At 47.3% G+C, this 22102-nt stretch overlaps 1 protein-coding gene and 1 pseudogene across 14 annotated transcripts in view, besides 1 other annotated feature; one reads left to right on the top strand and one right to left on the bottom strand.

The window, feature by feature from the left end:
- On the top strand, window positions 3131–3755 carry CACYBPP3 (calcyclin binding protein pseudogene 3; annotated as a pseudogene).
- Window positions 7532–22102, bottom strand: part of TULP4 (TUB like protein 4) — a 279634-nt gene continuing 265063 nt past the window's right edge. For 11 of the 14 annotated variants that reach the window (XM_047419082.1, XM_047419087.1, XM_047419084.1 and 8 more), the window contains 3 exons: window positions 20548–20691; window positions 15182–17682; window positions 7532–12782 (listed from right to left, as the gene is read on the bottom strand). In XM_047419082.1, coding sequence (XP_047275038.1) covers window positions 12666–12782; window positions 15182–17682; window positions 20548–20691 — 2762 coding nt within the window. In that variant the 3' untranslated portion in view covers window positions 7532–12665. The remainder of the gene's footprint in view (window positions 12783–15181; window positions 17683–20547; window positions 20692–22102) is intronic. The other 3 variants (XM_047419088.1, XM_047419089.1, NM_001007466.3) reach the window with 1 other exon arrangement.
- Window positions 12375–12875: an enhancer, noted in NCBI's record as "H3K4me1 hESC enhancer chr6:158927517-158928017 (GRCh37/hg19 assembly coordinates)". NCBI's record gives its function as "activates a minimal SCP1, AML or CMV promoter by ChIP-STARR-seq in primed H9 embryonic stem cells {active_cell/tissue: H9 hESC(primed)}" and the evidence as "EXISTENCE:reporter gene assay evidence [ECO:0000049][PMID:30033119]".

The raw sequence follows: 22102 nt of genomic DNA, 5'->3' as shown, positions 1-22102 counted from the left end.
AAGCCACAAATCAGGGTTGATTTCATTTCATTGTTTTAGTCTAGGCTCTAGACTTAAGAATGTGATGAAGGCAGTGTTCATAATGCAATTTAAATTAAAAATGTGTCATATCTGCACCATCACATTGTAAACAGCACAAAAGAATCGAGATCTGATCTTCAAAAACTATTATCCCATTTAGCAAAGAAATGGCTTATGTCATTAATGTATGAGTAAAGTTCTAACATATGTTTATGGTGTTTCACTGAAGACACATTTTCGTTGTTTCACTTTTGTCTTGCTCAAAAATGTAAATGAAAATAACCAACATTCATGTTGAGGCTACATTTGTTTACCAATTACAATCTTAGGTTGGCTGCAAGACAAACATTTGGCAAAAATCAACAAAAGCATTAGCTATTAAGTCTGGCTATATGGAGTTATAAGAAAAATATTGTGTATTTTGTTATTGTAATTGTGTACTACACATCCTATATAGCAATACAATTTATAATGCTCATGTAAGGTATATTTATTCATTCCAAGTTTGTGTGTTTCTGGAGAGCTGGTTGTTAGCTATTTACCAACACACCACTCCACTTGTTTGCCAATTTATAACCTTCAGCTGAAAGTATTGTTCTCCTGAAGAGGGCACCAGAGGGGACGGAGCCCAAACAACAGAGAGCACTGCACGGGGAATTGGGGAGATGCTGTTTACCCAGCAGCAAGGACCTGGCAGGCTGGATAGTTTCAGTGTGAACACGAAGAAGGCTGAGTGCTGATCAGGGTGCCGTTTACATTTTATACTCACCACCTTCTATTGCGAGGCTCACTGGCACTGGTTTTGTTTATTTCCATAAACATACAATAAAATGATCCTCCAGATCATCTTCGGGAACCTGGACAAAGTCTGGACAAAATGAACCCATCTTCGGAGTATCATCTCCCTCATGGGAAGGTGACTGCAAAGGAGAAAGGAAGTTAAAAGCAAAGGTCGGGGCAGGCGCAGCCGCGCAGCCTCACCCGGGCTCGTCTGTGACTCATTTCCCTGGAGGGGAGGCTTCTATCTGAGGTGCTGGCTTCTGCTCCCTGGGGAGCCGGCGCTTGTTCTCTGTGGTTCAGGATGCTTCAAGGAGCGATTCTCAAAGAGGGGCTGCGGCCTCATGGCTCTGAGATTTGCTCCTGACTCTTTTTCAACACACACTGCCTGGATGAGAGGAAAGTCACTTACGATTTTCTATCTGAGATTTCCCCATCTTTTAACTGGGACCAAACCTTTGCAGGGGAGGAAACATTTCTTTTCCTCATCCATCACTAGGGTCATGACCAGGGCCCCCATTAACAAGAGAAAACCATACAAATTTTATTTAATACAGCCATGCACCTCATAAAGATGCTTCAGTCAACAACAGACTGAATATGCAATGGTGATCCCGTATGACTATAACACTGGATTTTAGTTGTCCCTTTTCTATGTTTAGATACAAAAATACCTCCCATTGTGTTTCAGTTGCCTGCAGTGTTCAACACAGTGACATGCTGTGCGGGTTTGCAGTCCGGAAGCAATCAGCGGCCCCACAGAGACCAAGTGTGCCGCAGGTCATGCCTCTAGGTCTGTGTAAGTGCACTCTGTGAGGTTCCCACAGTGACAAAACAGCCTAGTGACACATTTCTCAGGACATCTCTCATTGTTAAGTGATGCAAGTTTTACATGACATGGGAACCTTCAGAAATGAGGACCCAAAGACACAGACACCTGTTTTTTTGTTTGTCTGTTTTGAGATGGAGTCTCACTCTGTTGCCCAGGCTGGAGTGCAGTGGGACGATCTCAGCTCACTGCAACCTCTGCCTCCCGGGTTCCAGCGATTCTCCTGCCTCAGCCTCCTGAGTAGCTGGGATTACAGCTAATTTTTGTATTTTTAGTAGAGATGGGGTTTCACCATGTTGGCCAGGCTGGTGTCAAACTCCTGACCTCAAGTGATCCGCCCACCTCGGCCTCCCAAAGTGCTGGGATTTCAGGCGTGAGCCACTGTGTCTGGCCGACACCTGTGTATTTTTACGCTGCTAAGTCTGATGAAGAAGTCGACAGGTGTGAGGGACAGTGGGACAAAGGGGTGTGATCCCTTGGGAATAAGCTGGGGGACTCCGCAGTGCCCGTTTGTGCAGGTTCTTCTCTGTACCCCTGTGTCTTCAGAGATGGAGACATTCCTCTCCTCTGGGGGCAGGGAGGGCACCTGTGGAACAAGGGTCTTGGGCCTGCTGCAGGGGCCAGGGGATGTGGGGAAGGTGAGAGTGAACTTCCTGCTTCTGCTGTTTTCTCAAATGCCAAGGTGCCACATTCTGGGGTGTGTGTCCTGAACCCCGTCACCTTCCCTGAGAAGGGCTTGTGGGGTCTTCCTGCTGTCAGAACAAGCTATACTGTGGTTTGCGAACCTGCTGTTACATGGAGTTGGCTCTGGGTGTCATCTTTACCTTTGCCTTATTTTTGGAGACTACAGATATCCAAATGGAAAGAAAGGAAAGCCATCCGTTCTTGCCATTTAGTTGAGAGAAAACCTTGGCTAATGAGATGATGTTCAGCTGTGTCTCTACAGGTACTGAGGATTTTTTAAAAAGTACCAGGCTCGGGCCGGGCGTGGTGGCTCACGCTTGTAATCCCAGCACTTTGGGAGGCCGAAGCGGGCGTACCATGAGGTCAGGAGTTCGAAATCAGCCTGACCAACATGGTGAAACCCCGTCTCTACTAAAAATACAAAAATTAGCCGAGAGTGGTGGCTTATGCCTGTTGTCCCAGCTACTCGGGAGGCTGAGGCAGGAGAATCACTTGAACCCGGGAGGCGGAGGTTGCAATGAGCCGAGATCGGGCCATTGCACTCCAGCCTGGCGACAGAGCAAGACTCCGTCTCCATTCAAAAGTCCCTCGGAGCGCTCGTGCTGCGTGGCGGCGGCCGGGATCGCGCTTACAGCGGGTGCGCGCAGGGCGGGTGCACGCTCAGGACAGGTGCGCGCGCAGGCTGAGGACCCTTGCACTTAGCCCGCAGCCGCGGGGCCTGCGCTCAGGTCGAGCGCGCTGGCTTCCTGGAGAGTTTCCTTTCGTGTTCCCTCCCCTGAGCGGCTGCCGCTGGCGCCTTTGGCCTGACCCAGGCCGGCCATGGCCTCAGCTTGGAAGAGCTATAGAAAGATCCAGAAGAGGTAAAAGGTGTTGCTGGAAAAGGCAACTAGGAAAACGGTGCGTGATGCCCTTCCAGCTGAAAAATCCAAGACTGAGACAGAAATGAACAGGATGCGGCAGAAATCACAGAGGAAAGCAGAACTCCTTGACAGCGAAAAGCCAGCTGCGGTGTTTGCTCCCATTGCAGGGGACCTACAGTGACACTCGGTGACTATGCACGGGGTCAGCCAGGTGAGGAGGCCAAGTTCCCGCTGAGAACGTGCAGATGCGCTCCCCAGAGAGGTCGTGTGATCTCTTGGTGTAGGATCTAACTGGGCAGGGTTATCCGTGAGTGTGAACAATCCATTGACACCCACTCCTGTGGAAGGCAAGGCGGATACAGTTCTTATCTTCTGTAGAAGGAAAGCGGAAAACACGGGGTGGGATCACCTGACTCAGGTTGAAAAAGGGTACAAAGAAACCGAAAAGACCCCCTACGACACTGAAACAGACTCCAGGGAGGGGCTGATGAACGTTCTAGGGGAAGTGGATGAGGACGGAGATGAGGCTGTGGAGAGAAAGATTCATAAAGCCTGGCTGGAATCAGGAGAGAAACGAGACGAGGGGGGACAGGGGGGTTTGAGACTTTAAAGTTCTTTTGGGAACTGTGATGCGGACGTGCTGGTGTTCCCAGTACGGGAATACTGGTGAGCTGCACATACGCATTTACAGGTAACTCCTTACACGGCCCTCTTCTAAGCAAAGGCAATGCATTCTCCATTTCCTACTGGAAGATTTATTTAAATAAAATATGCCTATTAAACAAAACAAGCAAACAAAAAAGTCCCATAGCACAGATGCTTTCCCATCTGGTTGGTTTGTTACGTTTTCAACATAGTGTACCAGTCCTTTATCCACATAGATAATTCACTTTTTTCAAGTATACTCTCAAGAGGTCCACATCATGAAAAACAGGTTAAGAAATGAGATAGGCCAAGTTAGCAGAGCCAGGGACATGGCCACCAGCTCGCTGTGGCCCGGTCGGGGTGCCTGTGCTGCTGTCACAGTGAGCATGGAGGACCAGGTCAAGAATGGGACAGTGGGGCTGGGCTTTTGCCGCTTCTGGCTGCCTAGCAGGTGGACTCTAACCAGCGGGTTACACGGAGGCACTAAGTGGGTCTGGGCAGTGTGGTGTTCTCAAGAGGCTGGTTTGGTCTAGTCTGACCCGTCCACTCTTCCCGGAAGCTGTTTGTGGAGAAACGTGGGCTCTGTCTCCCACAAAGACTGTTGGGCCTATTCTCTTGCCATCCTCCCACGAGCTCAGCTTGGCTTATACCAGCACCTGCTGACAAGTGTGTGTGTTAGAAAAAGAGAATGTTGACAAGCTCATCCTGTGGGAGAGAACCCTGGATGCAAGGGTGAGACCCACTGGAGTGCAGTGCACAGGAACAGATGGGCTGGGGGCACGAGGCTGACTCCATGTGGCCTAAGATGGGCCAGGGATCCTGAGGGTTCCATGAGCTGGACGCTCTGTGGCTTTTAGAGAAACTTCCCTTCCCAAGCTGCCTGAATCTATAAGGTCATCAAAGGAACCACTTAGCGAAGAAGAGACTTTTCTTCCACCAGTGCAGGAAATGGGACCTAGGCTGGAGCTGGTTATTCCAAAGGGTGGATGAAGGCAGTCTCTTTCTACTAGAGGAATGTTTTCTCTCAAGTTTTATAACAAAGGAAACTGTTGAGAAACTGGTGAGAAACCACAATCCTGGGACGGAAGAGCCTTCTGCAGTCAGAAGCAGGTACCTGAGGAAGGCAGGAAGTGGGACTCAGAGGACCCCATGGGCTCCAGCACAGAAAGAAGTTCATCACTCGAGGGTGTGTCTTCTCATCATAGGGGTTGGGGGGGCGCATGCGTGTGGCATGCACATGCTGTGGTGTCTGGACTGCCTGCCTTTTTACTGGGGAGAGAAAGAAAATATAACACTGGTCAAGCCCCTGTTTCAGTGACCCCAGACACTGAAATAAAAGGAAATGCCCCTGTTACTGGGTGAAAGTGCAAGATTCTGATTAGTGGTTCAAGGTGACACAGGAGACACTGAGTTGATTCATGTGAAAGGAGGAACCACAGATCATTCACATGAGCTGGAGGATGAACCAACAGGAGACATAGAGACCCTTGGTTCCCAGGACAGAAGGGAAATGGTGTCAGGTCTGGGCACTTTTCTACTTTTGGAGAAGAGTGGAGAGAGGAAGCACTAGGTTGTCCATACCCTCAGGGTTGAAGACAATGGGAAATGGCTGTCACAACTGGGAGAAGGCAATGTGACTGGTTGCCTTTATCATCCAAGCTCCCCGCTCTTTCCCGGGACAAGAGCTATCCCGTAGCTGTGCCTGCAGTGAGGATGCTGCACCATCACTGGGTGCAGGGGAGAGCCTGGGAGCCAGCCAGAGCTAAGTGGCAAATGGGATGCTGGGATTCATAACAGTGACCTGGAAGAACGCATGGGCAGGTCAGAGGACAAAGAGCAAGATGCTTTGCAAGGTGTCTGCATGCTGTCCTGAGTGGTGGTTGAAGCTTAAGAAATTCCTATGACTGCCGGGCATGGTGGTGGGTGCGGTGGCTCACGCCTGTAATCCCAGCACTTTGGGAGGCCAAGACGGGTGAACCACCTGAGGTCAGGCGTTCAAGACCAGCCTGGCCAACATAGTAAAACCCCATCTCTACTAAAAATACAAAAATTAGCTGGGCATGGTGGTGCGTGCCTGTAATCCCAGCTACTCGGGAGGCTAAGGCAGGAGAATCGCTTCAACCTGGGAGGCAGAAGTTGCAGTGAGCTGAGATCATGCCATTGTACTCCAGCCTAGGCGACAAGAGTGAAACTCCATCTCAAAAAAAAAAAAAAAAAAATTCCTATGACTTACTCTGGGGCGCCTTCTTTACTTGAAGCGATCGCTCAGACAGGAACTCTGAAATGGGTTCAAGAAATGAGCCAGCACTTCCAATGGATGGCTTCTTATTCTTCAGCACATAGAGCAGCTGTTTCTAGGAAGTGTAGGGAAACAAATCCACACAGACTGGCTCCTTTGTGAAGCCTGGGTGAATAATAAAACTGGTCAGCCGAACGTTCACTCTTTCCAGAATTCAATAACAAGGACTTAAATCTCATTCTATAAAGCGGATGAGCTCACCTGATGAGGGGCAGGGGTGGCCCATCTGTATGTAATACTTGTTTTCATGGGAGATGACTAAGTATAAGTAGCTCAGAGCTCATTACAGGCAAATCTTTACGACACACCAGAGTGAGAAGCTGGGAATAAACCAGGTCTATTCATTAATGTGACCCAGAAATCTTGGATTCTGTTTCAGGATTGGTTTTTGTCTATGGAATCCAGAAATCATTTCAACCTCTCACTGCTTCCATTTTCTTCTGAAAGGAGTGGCAAAAGGTATTCACTTCATAATGGAGTTGAGATTTAACTGTGGTTAGTATCTTTCATCCTTGGAAAACTGCAATGCAATCTCCATGAGACAGTTATTTCTCTTCTACAGTGAGTTTTGGGAGCTAGGTTCGAGCAAAATTGATTCCTTATTCTTTGAAAAACACCAAAAAGGTAGTTCTGTACATGCACACATGTATTATCACAGATAAACCTCCCATGCCCCACCTTCCCACCTCCCATGGTCATAGGGAACTTTAGGGCAGAGGAAGCAGGCTCACTAAGCACTTATGAGTAACAACAATAGTTAATAGTTATATGAGCACCTAGAGTTGAATTGCTTAAAACCTAGGTTTAAGTTTCCTACAAATTAACAAAGGTGTTAATATTTGGCATCTCTGATCTTTAGATGCTATACAGGTGCACTTTTAATCGAGTCCTCTTTTTTTTTTTTGAGACGGAGTCTCGCTCTGTCTCCCAGGCTGGAGTGCAGTGGTGCGATCTCGGCTCACTGCAAGCCCCGCCTCCCGGGTTCATGCCATTCTCCTGCCTCAGCCTCCCGAGTAGCTAGGACTACAGGCGCCCGCCACCACGCCCGGCTAATTTTTTGTATTTTTAGTAGAGACGGGGTTTCACTGTGTTAGCCAGGATGGTCTCGATCTCCTGACCTCATGATCCGCCCGCCTCAGGCTCCCAAAGTGCTGGGATTACAGGCGTGAGCCACCGTGCCCGGCCAATCGAGTCCTCTTTTAAAAAGCCATGAAAAAGCAAATCTAAACCAGATCATCAAGAAGACAGCACAATCTCTGACTTCCCCAAATGGGCAACATGATGACCGGGATCTCAGGGTCTCCAGTAGCTGCTAGCAGTTACCAAGAGACCCAGGAAGCAACTGGAGGGTGGGTAGGTCATGCCAATGGAGCGAGGTGATTTCTCCTCACAAGGCTCAAGAATTCTGCACACAACTTTTTTGATCTGCAAAATTTTATTAAGCAATAGCTGGACAACTCTTACAACTTCAAATCATCAAGAAAAAAATAAGGAGATTAATCCGTCTCAGTAATAAAGACAGAAAATAACTTGGACAAACCACATCGTTTTGAATGCAAACCATTAATGCCTTCTAGAATATCTCCTGCACAATCTAATACACAAAATACGTAAGAAGAAAGGCAAATAAGGATGAGCTCATTAAAACGCATTTGGGAGTCGCAACAGATCTTGCTTGGAAAGTAAAACCAGCAGGATGCTGAATTAAAAAACAAACAAACCAACACTGGAGGAACTGAGGTGCACAAGCAGTGCACGCCACTGCCGAGGTCTGGACATGAACATGCTGGTGGTCTAGTTTGGTCTGGGGCCTATGCACCTGCATCGTGCACTTACGGTTAAAAAAAAAAAAAAGGGAAAAAGAAAATGCCAGTAGTAATAAACTCAGAAATTATGTCCAAATTTACAGTACCAAAATAATGCATTTATAAACAAATGCAAAAACAATACCCCTTTGGTAAATAATACAGTGTCTTTTTCAGTCAAACGCATAACCCATGCTTTTCTACAACACGAAAAAATTTTTATCTACAATAAACAACAAGATCTTAGAACCCTACCCCTCCCCTTAAAAAGAACTGTAAACAGAAAATATAGGTACAAGTAAAGTTACACAAAAATTGCACAAAGCCAAAGAAAATGGAAACAAAGTAAGCCACAACCCATTAGAGTTTTATCAGCCAGAGGTAAGGAATCACACAAATGCTGAAGAGTTCTGAGTTGTGTGCTATTACAGAAATCCCAGGAACTCAAACGACATTTTGGACACATTTTTGTCTCCACTAACTTTGCTTACAACCATTGACTTGGCCAAATGATACAGGCACACAGCGACACCATGGACTCCTTCTCCAGTTGCTGGGCCAAACTTTCCTTTTCAAGAAACCTTTTCAATTTGAAGACCGTGTAACATGGCAGAGCACACTCAGGAATTTGAGGTGACCTAGGTATATATTCCTGTGGTTTTGGGGACAAGTAGTGACTTATTTCATGGCTGTTCTCATGGACATCCAGCTGAGCAGGGCACACCCGTGGAGACTCCTTCTTACCTAGAATCAGTACTTTTGTATATTCTATGAGAACAAACACAATTCCAAACACATTTAGAGGTGCACAAAAGATATTACTTTAAATGCACTGGTTTATATTCAGTACATAGCTCATTAACACAGGAAAAGAAATATTTCTCTACACAAAGGCAATGGTGTGAAATATATTTCCCATGAAAAGTGGAATGATGAGGCTGTTCAGTGCTGCGCTCTTAGGCTGAGAGCTGTAAGGGAGTTTAGAGGGCTGTCCAGGCTGATCCTTTCATTTCACAGATGGACAAGTGGAGGCCTAGCCAGCCCCAGGGACTTGCCCAAGGTCACCATCCAACCCTGTGGCAGAGCAGGCTTGACCCTGGGGTTTGCAGACTTTTTGCTATGATTACAAGATGAACATAACACATTCTTCCATGTCCTTGTGAGACACTTGACAAGGGAGCAATGGCTATGGATAAAAACACTAGCCTGTGAAATTCTTTGATTTATGCTGCCATTAGAGCTTTGAGATTTTCCTGCTTCTTTGGCCCCAATTTTTCTCAGGATATACATTCAATGGGTATATTGTACACAAATCTGTGCCTTTGGTTTGATGAGGTTAGAGCTAAAACAAATTTAGAATTGGTTATATTTGTTAATATATCACACTTCCCTCAAAAAGTCATAGATTCTTTATACAGTTAACCTTTTACTGGACTGCTTTTAAATTTAGGGATTCAATGAGGTATCTTGATATTCATAAACTATTAATAAACATTAAATTTTTAGAAATCTCCTGCATAAAGTATGAATTTTCGTCGTATTTAGTCAACAGAGACTGACTGAATGAAAGCATAGTTGAAAATAAGACCACCACTATTAACTGAAACGTCACACTACTAGGACCGCACAGCCCGCAGCTTGTGTCTGCCTTGGCGCAGGAGGGCAGCCCCTCTTTTCAGGCCCCTGGGTAGAGGGGAGGTGGGCAGTGGCTGCCGGGGTCACTCCGGTACAAACTCATACAAACTCACGTGCGCCAAACATCCGAGACAGAAGCCTGTGCCTCCATCGGGGGAAAGCGCCTTTGGGGGAGGGAGCTAGGCATTTAGAAGCTTAGTTAATTATTTGCTAAAAAAATCCATTTTTTTCTTCTCACATGTATTTGTAGCTTTCATTTCAAAGATTTTCCCCTATATTTGCTCTTATTAAACAGGTTCTAAAATGGGCTTTTTCAGGGTCTTTATATCTCAAAAACAATTAGAACACAAAAAGTGAAGCTTATTACCTAGTAACTCTTTCCTTGGCTACTCTCATTCTAATAGGTCTCCCCTTTTTATTTCAGATCAACTGTTATTTTCAGATAAAAATAAAATTTTCAAAAGAAGAGAATACTATTTGAGTGTTATCTCAAAAAAAAAGTCTCCTTTGTATATAATCAATAACACAAAATACAAAAAAAAATTTTTAAGTGATTAATAGGAATTTTTTCCCAATTAGAAAAGTTACAAATTATCCAGCAAAAAACCTTCTATGGGCCGGGAGTGGTGGCTCACGTCTGTAATCCCAGCACTTTGGGAGGCCGAGGCGGGCGGATCACCTGAGGTCAGGAGTTCAAGACCAGCCTGGCCAACATGGCAAAACCCCATCTCTATTAAAAATACAAAAACATTAGCCTGGCGTGTTGGCGGGTGTCTATAATCCCAGCTGCTTGGGAGGCTGAGGCAAAATAATCACCTGAACCCTGGAGTCAGAGGTTGTGGGGAGCCGAGATTGTGCCACTACACTCTAGTTGGGCGACAAGAGTGGGACTCCGTCTCAAAAAAAAAAAAAAAAAAAAAAAAAAACCTTCTATCATATCCTCTTTATTTCTTGCAGCAAAATATACTGTGACCATGTAAGTCGTTAACAAAGATACTATTTTTCTAAATAAATAAAATGGGTATAACTCACCAAAACGTAACAACAAAATAATTCCTAAGAACACTATGAAAAGCAAGATAAATAATTATCTCCTAAACGACAAAACAGGGGAATTGCATTTAGATTATCTAACAGGCTATAACCATTATTGCACAACCAATAAGCACTGAAACACCATATCAAGCTACATAAACTCATATAAAAGAATTAATTCTGATAACATTGCTGAATTCTTTCTGGAAGAATGCACCCACTAAAAATATCAGGTCCAATACGTTAAATATAAATGAGAAACTGGTATTAGATGGGAAATATCCTTTGCCACATCAGAAAACTTCGTCAGTATTTCTCTGGGGTTTGGAGAGAATTGGGAGTGATGTCATGTCATCTTGATCTGGGAAAAAAATGGGTCGGTTTCTTTTCCAATTTTTTAACTAAAACAGGGGATTAAAAAACGTTTAAATTTGAAAATACTTTTCTGTAGCATCTTCTACTTGTCTGTTTCCAAATAAAATGCAAATTTGGAACCCAACGCCAGCAGATAGTTCCTGTGCTCCTGCACAGCAGGCCCAGGAGAGGGGCCTGATCCTAAACAACATCACAGGTAAGACTGAGAAAAACAAAAACAAAAACAAAAAACAACAACAAAAAACAACAACAAAAAACACTGGGTTTTGTCATCAGGGCTTGAATACTGCCCACAGGTTCTCACGAGGACGAGGAAGTGGGAAGAGATATTCTAGGTAATTTTTTTTTATACAATTAACAAACTGTGATCAACCAACTACCTAGGTATTACAATTTTAATAACGTTTTCTCAGTGGTTTAGCTCCTTAGTAAACAGTCTGTACAGTTAATAAACAACTTTTTTTGTTAGAGAAGATCATGAAAATTTTGTCAAAGATTTGACCATACTCCTCTGTATTTTAATACCCTGGTGAACACTTAACATTTTTTTGGTTACATTTCTAATTTGATAGAAAGCATTTGTAGTCAACTGAATTTTAATGTAGCCAAGAGGAGAAAAGGAGTGGTTTCAAATCAAGCGTTGTCCACACTTTTAGAATGGGAAGGCATAGAACATGGTATCTCATGGGAAAGATCATGTTTACAGTAATGCATTCCAGATTAAAAAGTAAAAGGGGCAGAGAGAGTAGAGGCTGTTTCTCAGCATGTGAGGATCTAGTGACTGTCACCACATTATTTGAGAAAACTGCTACCACTACCACAGGCCAGGATCTTTCCATTTTTGTCTCTCACCTTCTCCCAGAACCAGTCATGCTGAATGACCATCACTGATCCTACGGAACTTTGACAAACGATGAAACTAGTGGAGGCTTTCAATGTAGACATCCTCAGCAGAGGAGTGTAGCCCTCGTACTGCTGCTACAAGTCACACGCTGAGTCACATTGCTGTCTGCAGAGTGATGTGAACCTGTGTATACGTGCAGTTTCTTCTTTACCCTTCGTCCCTTCCCCAACATCCTCAGTGAGCAAATCGCATTTCTACCTGGTGAGAACACCCCTGTAAAGAGCCTACTTTGTTGGTCCAACACAGTGTGTCTGCCCAAATGCCCTTTATTAATTAAGTCACCTTTTGGGGAGTAACATAATCAGTGTAAATCAAATGCTGTCCCCATCCCATTCCCCAAGAACCTGCATCTTGAGAATTTTTGGCTGTGTTTTGTAAAAGCTTTTTGCTTTTACGCTAGTGGTGATGTTGGAGGAGAATACAGGATAATGCATCCTCCCTATGTCTAAAAGAATAGCAGGCTCTAAGGCAGACTGTCTTCATTCTGAAGGGCCCAGTAGAGCATTACCACAGCCAAGCTGTTTCCTGAAAGAACAGCAGGTGCCTAGCACTCTTTGCTTCCAAATGCCACTGAAATGAAAGAAGAAAAGAAGAACAGACAATAAAAGGTAATAAAACCCAACCAAATAAATGACGACCACAGGTCAGCGCCCTCTCCTGGGCCTGCCGGGCTTTTCCAGTTTTGCTGTTGGCTTCTGGTCCTCCCAGGCATCGGACCCCTAGAGGGCTCCTCTGGCATCTCCGAAGACCTCTTCCAAAGGCTCTCTGCATCTCTCTCCTCCCCACACCAGTCTCTTCATTTGAGGCGCTGAGTCACGTTGGCCAGGGCAACTGCAAAGGCCTGCACGGCTGAGAACGGATACTGGAAGTCTAGAATGTACGCACTGCCATCAATCCGTCCAAACTGCATCACCTGGAGGAGGGCAGGGGAAGCAAAGACATTAAAGAATAAGGTGAAAAGGCCAGGCGCAGTGGCTCACGCCTGTAGTCCCAGCACTTTGGGAGGCCGAGGTGGGCAGATCACGACGTCAGGAGATAGAGACCACCCTGGCTAACACGGTGAAACCCCGTCTCTATTAAAAATACAAAAAATTAGCCGGGCGTGGTGGCGGGCGCCTGTAGTCCCAGCTACTCGGGAGGCTGAGGCAGGAGAATGGTGTAAACCTGGGAGGTGGAGCTTGCAGTGAGCTGAGATTGGGCCACTGCACTCCAGCCTGGGCGACAGAGGAGACTTCATCTCAAAAAAAAAAAAAAAAAAAAAAAAAAAAGAACAAGGCGAGCAAGGCGACAGCCGGGTCTGCATGGCTCCTTATGGAAGCAGACAGCACCGTCTATGAGATACTTTTGCTAACAAAAGTGACCCTGAATCTGGTGAAGCTTCTATATCTAACTCCAAGTTTGCAGGAAATAAGGGGACTGAGGAACATGTTAACACAATGGAGACAGTGAGCAAGGTTTGGAATGTGGGGACAATGGCCTCCAGCTCCATCCGTGAAAAGTTACCTGTGGGGTACAACATCCAATGTTTGGGTGATGGGCATACTAGAAGCCCACCCCCCATTATGCACGTAATGCTCATGTAACAAGCACATGTACCCCTGAATCTAAAAGAAAAAAGAAAAAAAAAAAAGAATGGGGTGAATGCTACAGGCCAAATGAAGTGGTTTCTTCACCTAGGAAGTAGAAAGGAGAAAGAAAAGCAGAAAGAAACACAAACAGGCCAGAGGCTCCAGAAGAGAAGTAGCACCACCACTGTCCAACACCGCTGCCTCAGGGAGGGACTTGCTGGCCACTTCCTCACCAGTTCCTGTGCCTACATCCCATCAGACAGTGACGCCATGCCCTAGCACACGGGCTGCACTCATCCGCCTCTGGTCCCCAGTCTGCGTGTTCCACAGCGGCGGGGCTCTGTCTTCCTCACTGCCCTGATCCTAGCACTATAGCAGGGGCTGACGCACTTTCTGCGAGGGGCTGATAATAAATATTTTAAGCTTTGTGGGTCACACGGTTTTTACCACAACTCCTCAACTCTGCTGTTGTCCGGCCAACACAGCCAGGGACGATACTCAGGTGAATGAGCGTGGCTGTGCTCCAATAAAACTTTGTTCCAAAAAGAGGCGGCTGGCCAGAGTGGCCCAAAGGCCAGTATGCCAACCCTGGGCTTAGAGGATTGCCAGGCACACGGCAGGTTCTCAATAACATTTATTGAGTGAATTAACGAAAACGTGAATTTAAGTAGAGAGGGGAGGGACTTTACAGGATGGTGAAGGGGGACGTTGGCAGCAGGACAGAGCAACCCTTCTGGGCTGGAGCAGGGAAGAACTAGGACCCAATGTGTTCAGCTGCACCATGAGATAACATCCGGTTCGAGAACTGGGGAATGACTTCCATATACAGAGAAATAGGCAAATGAGCAAACAGACAGATAACAGGAAGTTGATATGTCTAGGGGAAGAAAAGTATACAAAAAAGGAAATGTAACTAAGCCGTAATACATGGCTCAGCTATTGACTAGCATAACAAGGTAACCAGTGACCACTGATTTAATGGGGAAGGAAAAGCTGTGTGCATACATGTGTGTGTGTGCATAGGGTGAGCAAAACTAACCCTCACATTCCTTAGGAAGTCACCATCTGATGCCAAAAACAGAAAAGTCAATGAACAGAAGTAGAAACGTATTCTTTACAAATATGACTGCAGGCCAGGTGCGTTGGCTCACGCCTGTAATCCCAACATCTTGAGAGGCTGAGGCAGGAGGATTGCTTGGAACCCAGGAGTTTGAGACCAATCTAGACAACACAGTGAGACTCCCATTTCTAAAAAAAAAAAAATTAGGGCTGGGCGTGGTAGCTCACGCCTGTAATCCCTGCACTTTGAGAGGCCAAGGCGGGCAGATCACGAGGTCAGGAGATCGAGATCATCCTGGCTAACACGGTGAAACCCCATCTCTACTAAAAATACAAAAAAAAAAAAAAAATTAGCCGGGCATGGTGGCGGGCACGTGTAGTCCCAGCTACTCGGGAGGCTGAGGCGGGAGAATGGCGTGAACCCAGGAGGCGTAGCTTGCAGGAAGCCAAGACTGCGCCACTGCACTCCAGCCTGGGCCACAGAGCGAGACGGTCTCAAAAAGAAAAAAAAAAATACAAGACAGCAGTGGGCACACTAAAAACCATAACCCCATGAGCTCCACCTAAGAGGTGTTCGTTGTTTTCCACATTTCCCATTTGGCCTTTTGAAAAATGCTCCTTGAAGGCCGAAGCACTGAAACCCTCGCCTCCTGGGCTCGCAGCGCCACCTGGTCTGAGGTCTTACCTGCCGCCCCTCTAACTCAATCTGGAAGTTCTTGGCGGACTCCTGGGTCACCCGCCCCCCGAAGTCCAGCTGGTAGACCTGGGTGGCCTCGTTCCACAGCGGCTGCTTGTTGGCCATCACGTACACGAAGCCTTGGCTGCCCAGCCGCCCGTCCTCCTTCTCACTGGCCCGCCGGCACTTGGCCTCCTCCAGCTCGCCGGCGGCCCGTGGGGAGCGCTTGCTTTTCCAGCCCTTTCTGCTGCCCTGGCTCTGGTTCATGAGCTCATCCCCGCTGATGAACAGCTCAGGCTCGCTCTCGGAGCTGTCCTGGAACTCGTTTGTCTTATTCAACTTCTTTGACTTCAGTTGGTCTTTCTGACTCTTCACTTTCTTCTTCTCTCTCCCCAGGTGTGGGCTGGAGATTAGGGAATTAAAGTCACTCAAAGTCCTAGCCTCCTTCTTCACTTTGCCCTCAGTGATGGCCTGAACGCTGCCTTCTTCTGCTCGGCTGTCCAGGCGCTTCCGGTTCTTCTTTCCAAATTTTTCTGTCCGCTGGGGGACTGGGCTTTCGGTCAGGGAGAGGACTTCCTGGAAGTTGTCTGCAGTCTCTACCATCACCTCTGTGCCCAAGTGGCTTTGGAGGTCGGCAGGTGGTGGGGACACAAGGGGCTTCTCCACCACCAAGTGTGGCTTTGGGGGGAGAGTGCCCTGGGGGTTCTGCATGGGCGGGCAGGCGCTGTAGGAACTCCATGGATGCAAGGCGACAGGTGGCAGCTGTAAACTAGAGCACGTGCTGCTTCCTGGGTACATGGGGGGCAGGGTGCAATAGGAGAGGCTGGGTGGGTACAGCGGCTGAAGGACCACAGCAGGCTCCTGTTGTGCAAACTGCGTTGGGGACAGGGCATCTTTGGGAGAGCAGGGAGCCTGCACTCCAGGCAAAGGGGGGTTGTTATAGCTTCCTGGATATGGCACTCCCATCCCATAGCCTGTTTGGAAAGTGGCAGTGGGGCTGGCAGGAGACTTGGGGGAGATGAAGGGCAGTCGGGACACGTCCAGGTGCTGGCCCTGACTCAGCATCAGAGAGGACAGTTTTAAGGGGTTGGGCCCTGAAGTCTGTGCTGTCCTTTCTTGAGGAACCCAAACATCCTCACCCAGCATGGGGTCCCACTGGTAAGGGGGTGGCCGTTTCAGGGTGACAGCAGCTTCAGGCAGGGGAGGGTGCCTCAAGGGCTTCTCAAGCTGACAGTGCTGGGACAGGGCCTCGTCCTCCGTGAAGGCCGAGTTGACGTAGTCGGTGCGGTCGCGGGCGCTGTCGGGTGGGCTCAGGAGGCTGTAGGAGGACTGGGAGGCCAACGGGGAGGCGCTGGCGGTATGGGCCAGGGAGGCTCCGGGCTGTGAGCTGGGCCCTGTGCCACTGCACTGACTGCAGGTGTACAGGGCAGGTGGGGGCCGCGCTGGGAGCTGTGTCACCACCCCCCCGGGCCCGCCCTTGGACTTGGCCAGGGGCTGCAGGGGGGCCCGCGGGCTGTCGGCCAGCTGGGCCATCTTGAGCGTAGCCTCACGGTTGTTCCTCCGCAGGGTAGCGTGGATGAGGCTATTGTCGGACCTCTGGGCAGCCCCCCGCCCCTGGGCCAGCTGGCTGGCAATTTCAGGATACGGGGGTGGGTCCCCGGTGGGGATGGAGTAGCGAGGGACGGTCAGGCGGTTCAGGGTGGCACTGCTGCAGGGCTGAGGGACCTTCTTCTCAGTGGCCGTGAGCCTCAAGGTGGCAGAGCTACCCGGGCCGGGGAGGGTGTACGTGTTCTGGGAGCACAGCATCCGGGTGCGGGGCCGGCACACCTCCTCCACGTTGCCACTGCTGTCGAAGGTGGTGATCCTCTCATAGCCCAGGGGGGTCTGGTAGTGCACTGACGTGGGGTAGAGGGAGAAGTCGCCCTTCTTCAAGCACACATCCACTGGGGGCTGTGGGGGCGGCAGAGGGGGCGGGGGTGCTGCTGTGGTGGGGGCAGCGGGGATGGTTCCTGGGTACGGGGGTGGAGGGTTTATCTTCGTCACCTGGACCTCCTGGGGGGCACTAAAGACCACTGCGTCCCCCTCAGCTGCCAGCTGCGGTGTTGGCCGCAGGGCCTTGGCTGACTTCTGCAGGTGTTCGTGGTCTCGGTCTCCATGGCCCACCGTGGACAGCTGCATGGGCCCCTGCGGCGGGGGAGGCAGGGACAGTGGAGGGGGGTTCTGAATGATGCGGCCCATTTCCACGCTTCCGAAAATCACCTGTCCAGGATTGGAGTACCGGTTGGAGACTGGGTACTGGGTGGCACTGTCACCTGCATGTTCTGCTGTCCCTACAGCTGTCGTCTGGTTGGTCAGGACATCTAGCTGCACATTCTGATTGGCCAGTAGGGACTGCACCAGCCCTATGCTCTGCGTGGGGGACATAGCCTGAGCCGAGCTGTGGATCGGTGCAATAGGGATGTTCACGGTACAAGGTGGGCTGTTCTCAGGGACACCAGATGCTCCTGTCACTGGAAGAAAATTAGAAAAAGGAACTGCTTACAAAAACACTGCCATTAAACCAGATCAGGATAAGCAATACGTCTGGACTCATCCAGTCTCCTTCTGTAAACAAAATGCAAATTGCCAGAGACAGAGACGTGTCTGCTTGGGGAAAGCTGGCCTGCTCGCACAAGGGAGATGGGTTCTTGAGGGCAGCCTGCTGCTGTCTGTTAGCTAAGGGTACTGTCAGAACTTTTCGACTAACTCACTTTTGAACCTTCTAAACTTGGCACCAGTGCCTCAATGGCACCATCACAGATAATTAAATGTCTGAAGAAGCTTTTTACTGGTGATATTCATAAAATACCCACCCTTTTATGCAAGAAGAGGGCAATGGTACAGGAAAAACCTCCATTGAGGACTTGCAGTGCCTAGGCCTCTGAATAGGTCTATTCATGATTATGGGATGGATAGTGTGGAAAGTGTCATGCAACAGATGTGTATAAGAAATGTATGCACATTAGGTTTCTGTAAATAGAACCATGTAAAATGTGGTAGAAAAAACAATGAAAAGAATCTTCTAGTGAATCTGAGTATCATATGAAGGATCATTTCCTAATTTTTTTTTTTTTAAGACAGAGTCTTGCTCTGTTGCCCAGGCGTGCAGTAGCAGGAGTTCAGCTCACTGCAACCTCCACCTCCTGGGTTCAAGTGATTCTCCTGCGTTCAAGTGATTCTCCTGCCTCAGCCTCCCCAGTAGCTGGGACTGCAGGTGAGCGCCACCACACCCAGCTATGTATTTTTAGTAGATATGGGGTTTTGCCATGTTGGCCAGGCTGGTCCCCAACTCCTGACCTCAGGTGATCCACCCACCTCGCCTCCCAAAGGGCTGGGATTACAGGTGTGAGCCACCCTGCCTGGCCTTTATCTGCTTTTTAGCATTTCAAACAGTATGTAAGGTAGAGCCATGCTGAATTAAACCCTATAAATATATCCTATTTGTACACAGTGAGAGTTTAACAGAGCGTGCGTGCATTTGAACAGCGATCTACAGACAGGTGCTCAGAGCCACTGTCTGCACCACCCTGTTTAAAGTGCCCACTGAGCACTCTGCAGTTGGCTCCTCTAGGCCCACTGTGCTACCCTGTGGCTTTTCCCTTAGAGAAAACTGCCACTGATCCAGAAATCTGAGGCATGGTGTAAGTACCGTGTGGCAGCTAGTCCATGATTAGGAAATGTGACACTGGCTGACTTCTCATCAAAAGAACTACAGAATCAAGCCAGCTAGTTTATCAAAAGCTAAGCTGGCCCTTCCTTGGGGTGTCCTAGTAAGACATAACTCTCCCCTGGCCACACAAATTTGGGTCTGTCTCAGGTTTCCTATGATTCCTGTTCAGATCCCTCTTGGAGAAGCTCTCTCGTCTGTATGAAACACTGATGGCAGGCATCTTCCCCTTTAAGGAAGAAGAGCCTCTTCACTGAGTCACCATCATTAAATGTAATCCCTGAGACAATATGTTCCCTCCTCTCATTGAGAACCACAGACAATAACGACAACTGCAGCAACAGCTGAACCTTGGAGAGGGCTGTATTCCTCGCATTTTGGGAGAACAGGGAAAGCGTTAAGGGGAAAGTTTAAAAGATACTTCTAATTCCAAGATTCTGAAGTAGAAGGGGATGCACTAGAAAGCTCAGGTATGGGAGGCTTCACCAAACTACAGGTATTTATGTGGCTGTAAGCTTGGCCTATTAGGACCACATAAGCCTAGGAGATTTGCTCACCCATGCAGGAGAGGTCACCAACAGAGAAGCAAGATGGCTATTGTTGGAAAGTGCAGTATAAATCATTTTTTTTTCTTTTTTCAGTTAAAAAGACTGGGCTGAGAGAAGGTAAACAACTCTCTCAAGTTCAGAGCCAAGCTGAGGAGGAGGGCCCAAGCTGAAATGGGTGGCCCTCTATGTCCACTGCAAGAACCAGTCCCTCTGGTCACAGACATCCAGATACTGGAGAAGTCACGGTCCATGTCTGGGTTCCTCTAGCTCAGAAACAAGAGACTTCCAGAGCCCACTTAGTTGGAAGTAGAGGAGTCTGTGTATCTATAAAATCTCAGGTGGCCTTTTACTTAGAAAAGCAAGTTATTTTCAAGTACCCTCTAGTGAAATAGTTACACACAACTAACTGGCCAGACTAATTGGAAGTCATTGTAATCTATTAATCAAAATAGGATCCTTTAAGAATCCCCCCACTGGGAAACACATTAACTTAAGATGCTATGGATATTGATATTTACCATTTGAAAACTGGAATTTAAAAACTGTTTACCAGATTTTATCTTGAACTCAGACCAGGCCCCTGTGCACTGAGACATGCGGTTGCGGTGGAAGAGAGGTAGTTCCAGGTAAAGGCTTTTGCGTCCTGGACACGGCAGATTTGAGAAACTGGGCTCTGTGCGCACCACGGGAATGCTGGAGTGAGACACTATCTCAGCAGGGACTGAAAGGATGAAAGCTGGCCTAGATCAATGAGATTGAGTCTCAGTTCTGATTTTATTTAGTCCCAATCAGTCCTGCAAACTTATCTGAATCCAGACACAAGACTAAGAGGATAGCTGTGAGGATAAAGCCAGATGTTAGAACTGTGCTCCGAAAACACAAGGCGCCGCTGCTACTGGAACCATCTGTGCTCCAGCAGCTCCCCTCCTGCCAACACTGGTGCCAACCTGTGACTTTTCCCCTGGGACACAACATCACATCTACCAACCTTACTGAGGCAGGGATACCTTTTCCAAACCCAGGTAGCAGACTGAAATCCTCAACAACTTGCCGCTCTGTCCCCCTTGCATGATCTACTGACAGAGGGACCGTGACAAACACGTTGATGTATGTGAACACACCTGGTAAATCATCTTCATCTTCACTGAAAACATTTGGGTTGAAGACAGGTAAATTAATATAGTCCATGGAAATTTTCCGAACTTCTGGGAGATAAATGGTCATCTGCCGCGGCTGGAGATGCAGGAGGCTGGTTTTATAGATTACTGGTGGGGAAAAAGAAGGGCACAGTTAACAGAGACACACCAGAGCAGAGCCAAAGTGTCAAGAGAGTCACAGGAAGAAGAGCGCACTGCAGTTTCCCTGCCATCAGAAGACAGATCTGTGTAGGCAGGGCCCAGAGGCTGAGAGGAGCTCTTCATTTCTCCCTAGTACTCAATGCGACCATACTAGCCACAGTTCTGGATTCAGTAACAGCAGATTCCCGGTCTAGCTTGGCCTCCTTGCCAATGGTTTGTCTACAGAACTACAAATTTCAAATGTTAAAAACATTTTAGACACAAATCATTTCTTTTGGAATAAGCTAGGGTATAAAAACATATTTTTTAAAAACCTCATTTGCAGTCAGAAGGATGATTGAATGGAAATAGTTGTGACAACCAGACTGCCAAACAAGGGAAGCTTGGGCAACCAAGAAACTGTGTGAAAGCAATGTTGAGATGGGGGTGGCATGGTTTCATGTAGGAATAAAACATAGCCTTCATTTCGGCTGGAACCTTGGTTTACTGGCTTTCAATTTTAATCTAACCATCAGGATAGAGATTTATAGGGAATTTCCACACAGTTGTTTTTTTAAAACCTCAAGATTTAATTTGATTAACAGGGACATGTAGGAGAAGGCCTAGATTGCAACTAAAATATTTAGAGGAGACAAAATAAGTTTAAATATAATGAATCTGAATTTAAGTTTCACAGTAGTTAAAGTCGGGGTGAAACTGCCCTGTGAACTTGCTTTTGTGTTCAATAGTCTCTCCTGTGAGACAGGTAGCACAAAGCTTCTTTATTCTAGCTCCATGGCGGTCACCTTAACACTTAGCGGCTGACCTGCAGCATGACTGCGGCACAGCAGGCCTCCTTTGTCGAAGCATCTTTGCGGGGCTGGCCCATGGACTGGTATGGGTTAAGGTAACTTCTCCTGCCCAATAGCAGGAAAGGCCCTAGGCATGTGTTTCTCTCTCTTGTCCACAAAGGAAAGATAATATGAATTTTGGTTTAAAAATACTGTGTGGTTCCATATGACTTAAGAATGAATGTATTAAAGTGTTATTCTTTGTTGTTCACATTGACAAAGCAATTTTTAAAAAAATTCTAGGAGGGATTAGAAAAATACCATCAGTTACCTCCAGGAAAGAAAAGTAGGTGGCTGATGGTGAGAATGACAGAGATTTTTACTATAGACCCCTCTGAATGCTTTGAATTTTGTAGAATCTACTGTGTATTGTTAAAATGCCAAAAATTCAAAATAAAAAAATTTCATGGGCCAGATCATTCTAATTAAAGAAAACAAATTATCCAACCTGGGGAACAGCACTCACTTTTTAAGTTCACTAGAGTGCCATATACTGTCTTTGAAAAGATTATTTAATGGGGTACCACATATAACATACCTTCTAGTAT

This window comes from Homo sapiens, chromosome 6, assembly GCF_000001405.40.
Source record: "Homo sapiens chromosome 6, GRCh38.p14 Primary Assembly".
Taxonomy (NCBI): Eukaryota; Metazoa; Chordata; class Mammalia; order Primates; family Hominidae; genus Homo; species Homo sapiens.
This window is presented reverse-complemented; position numbering and strand designations above follow the sequence as displayed.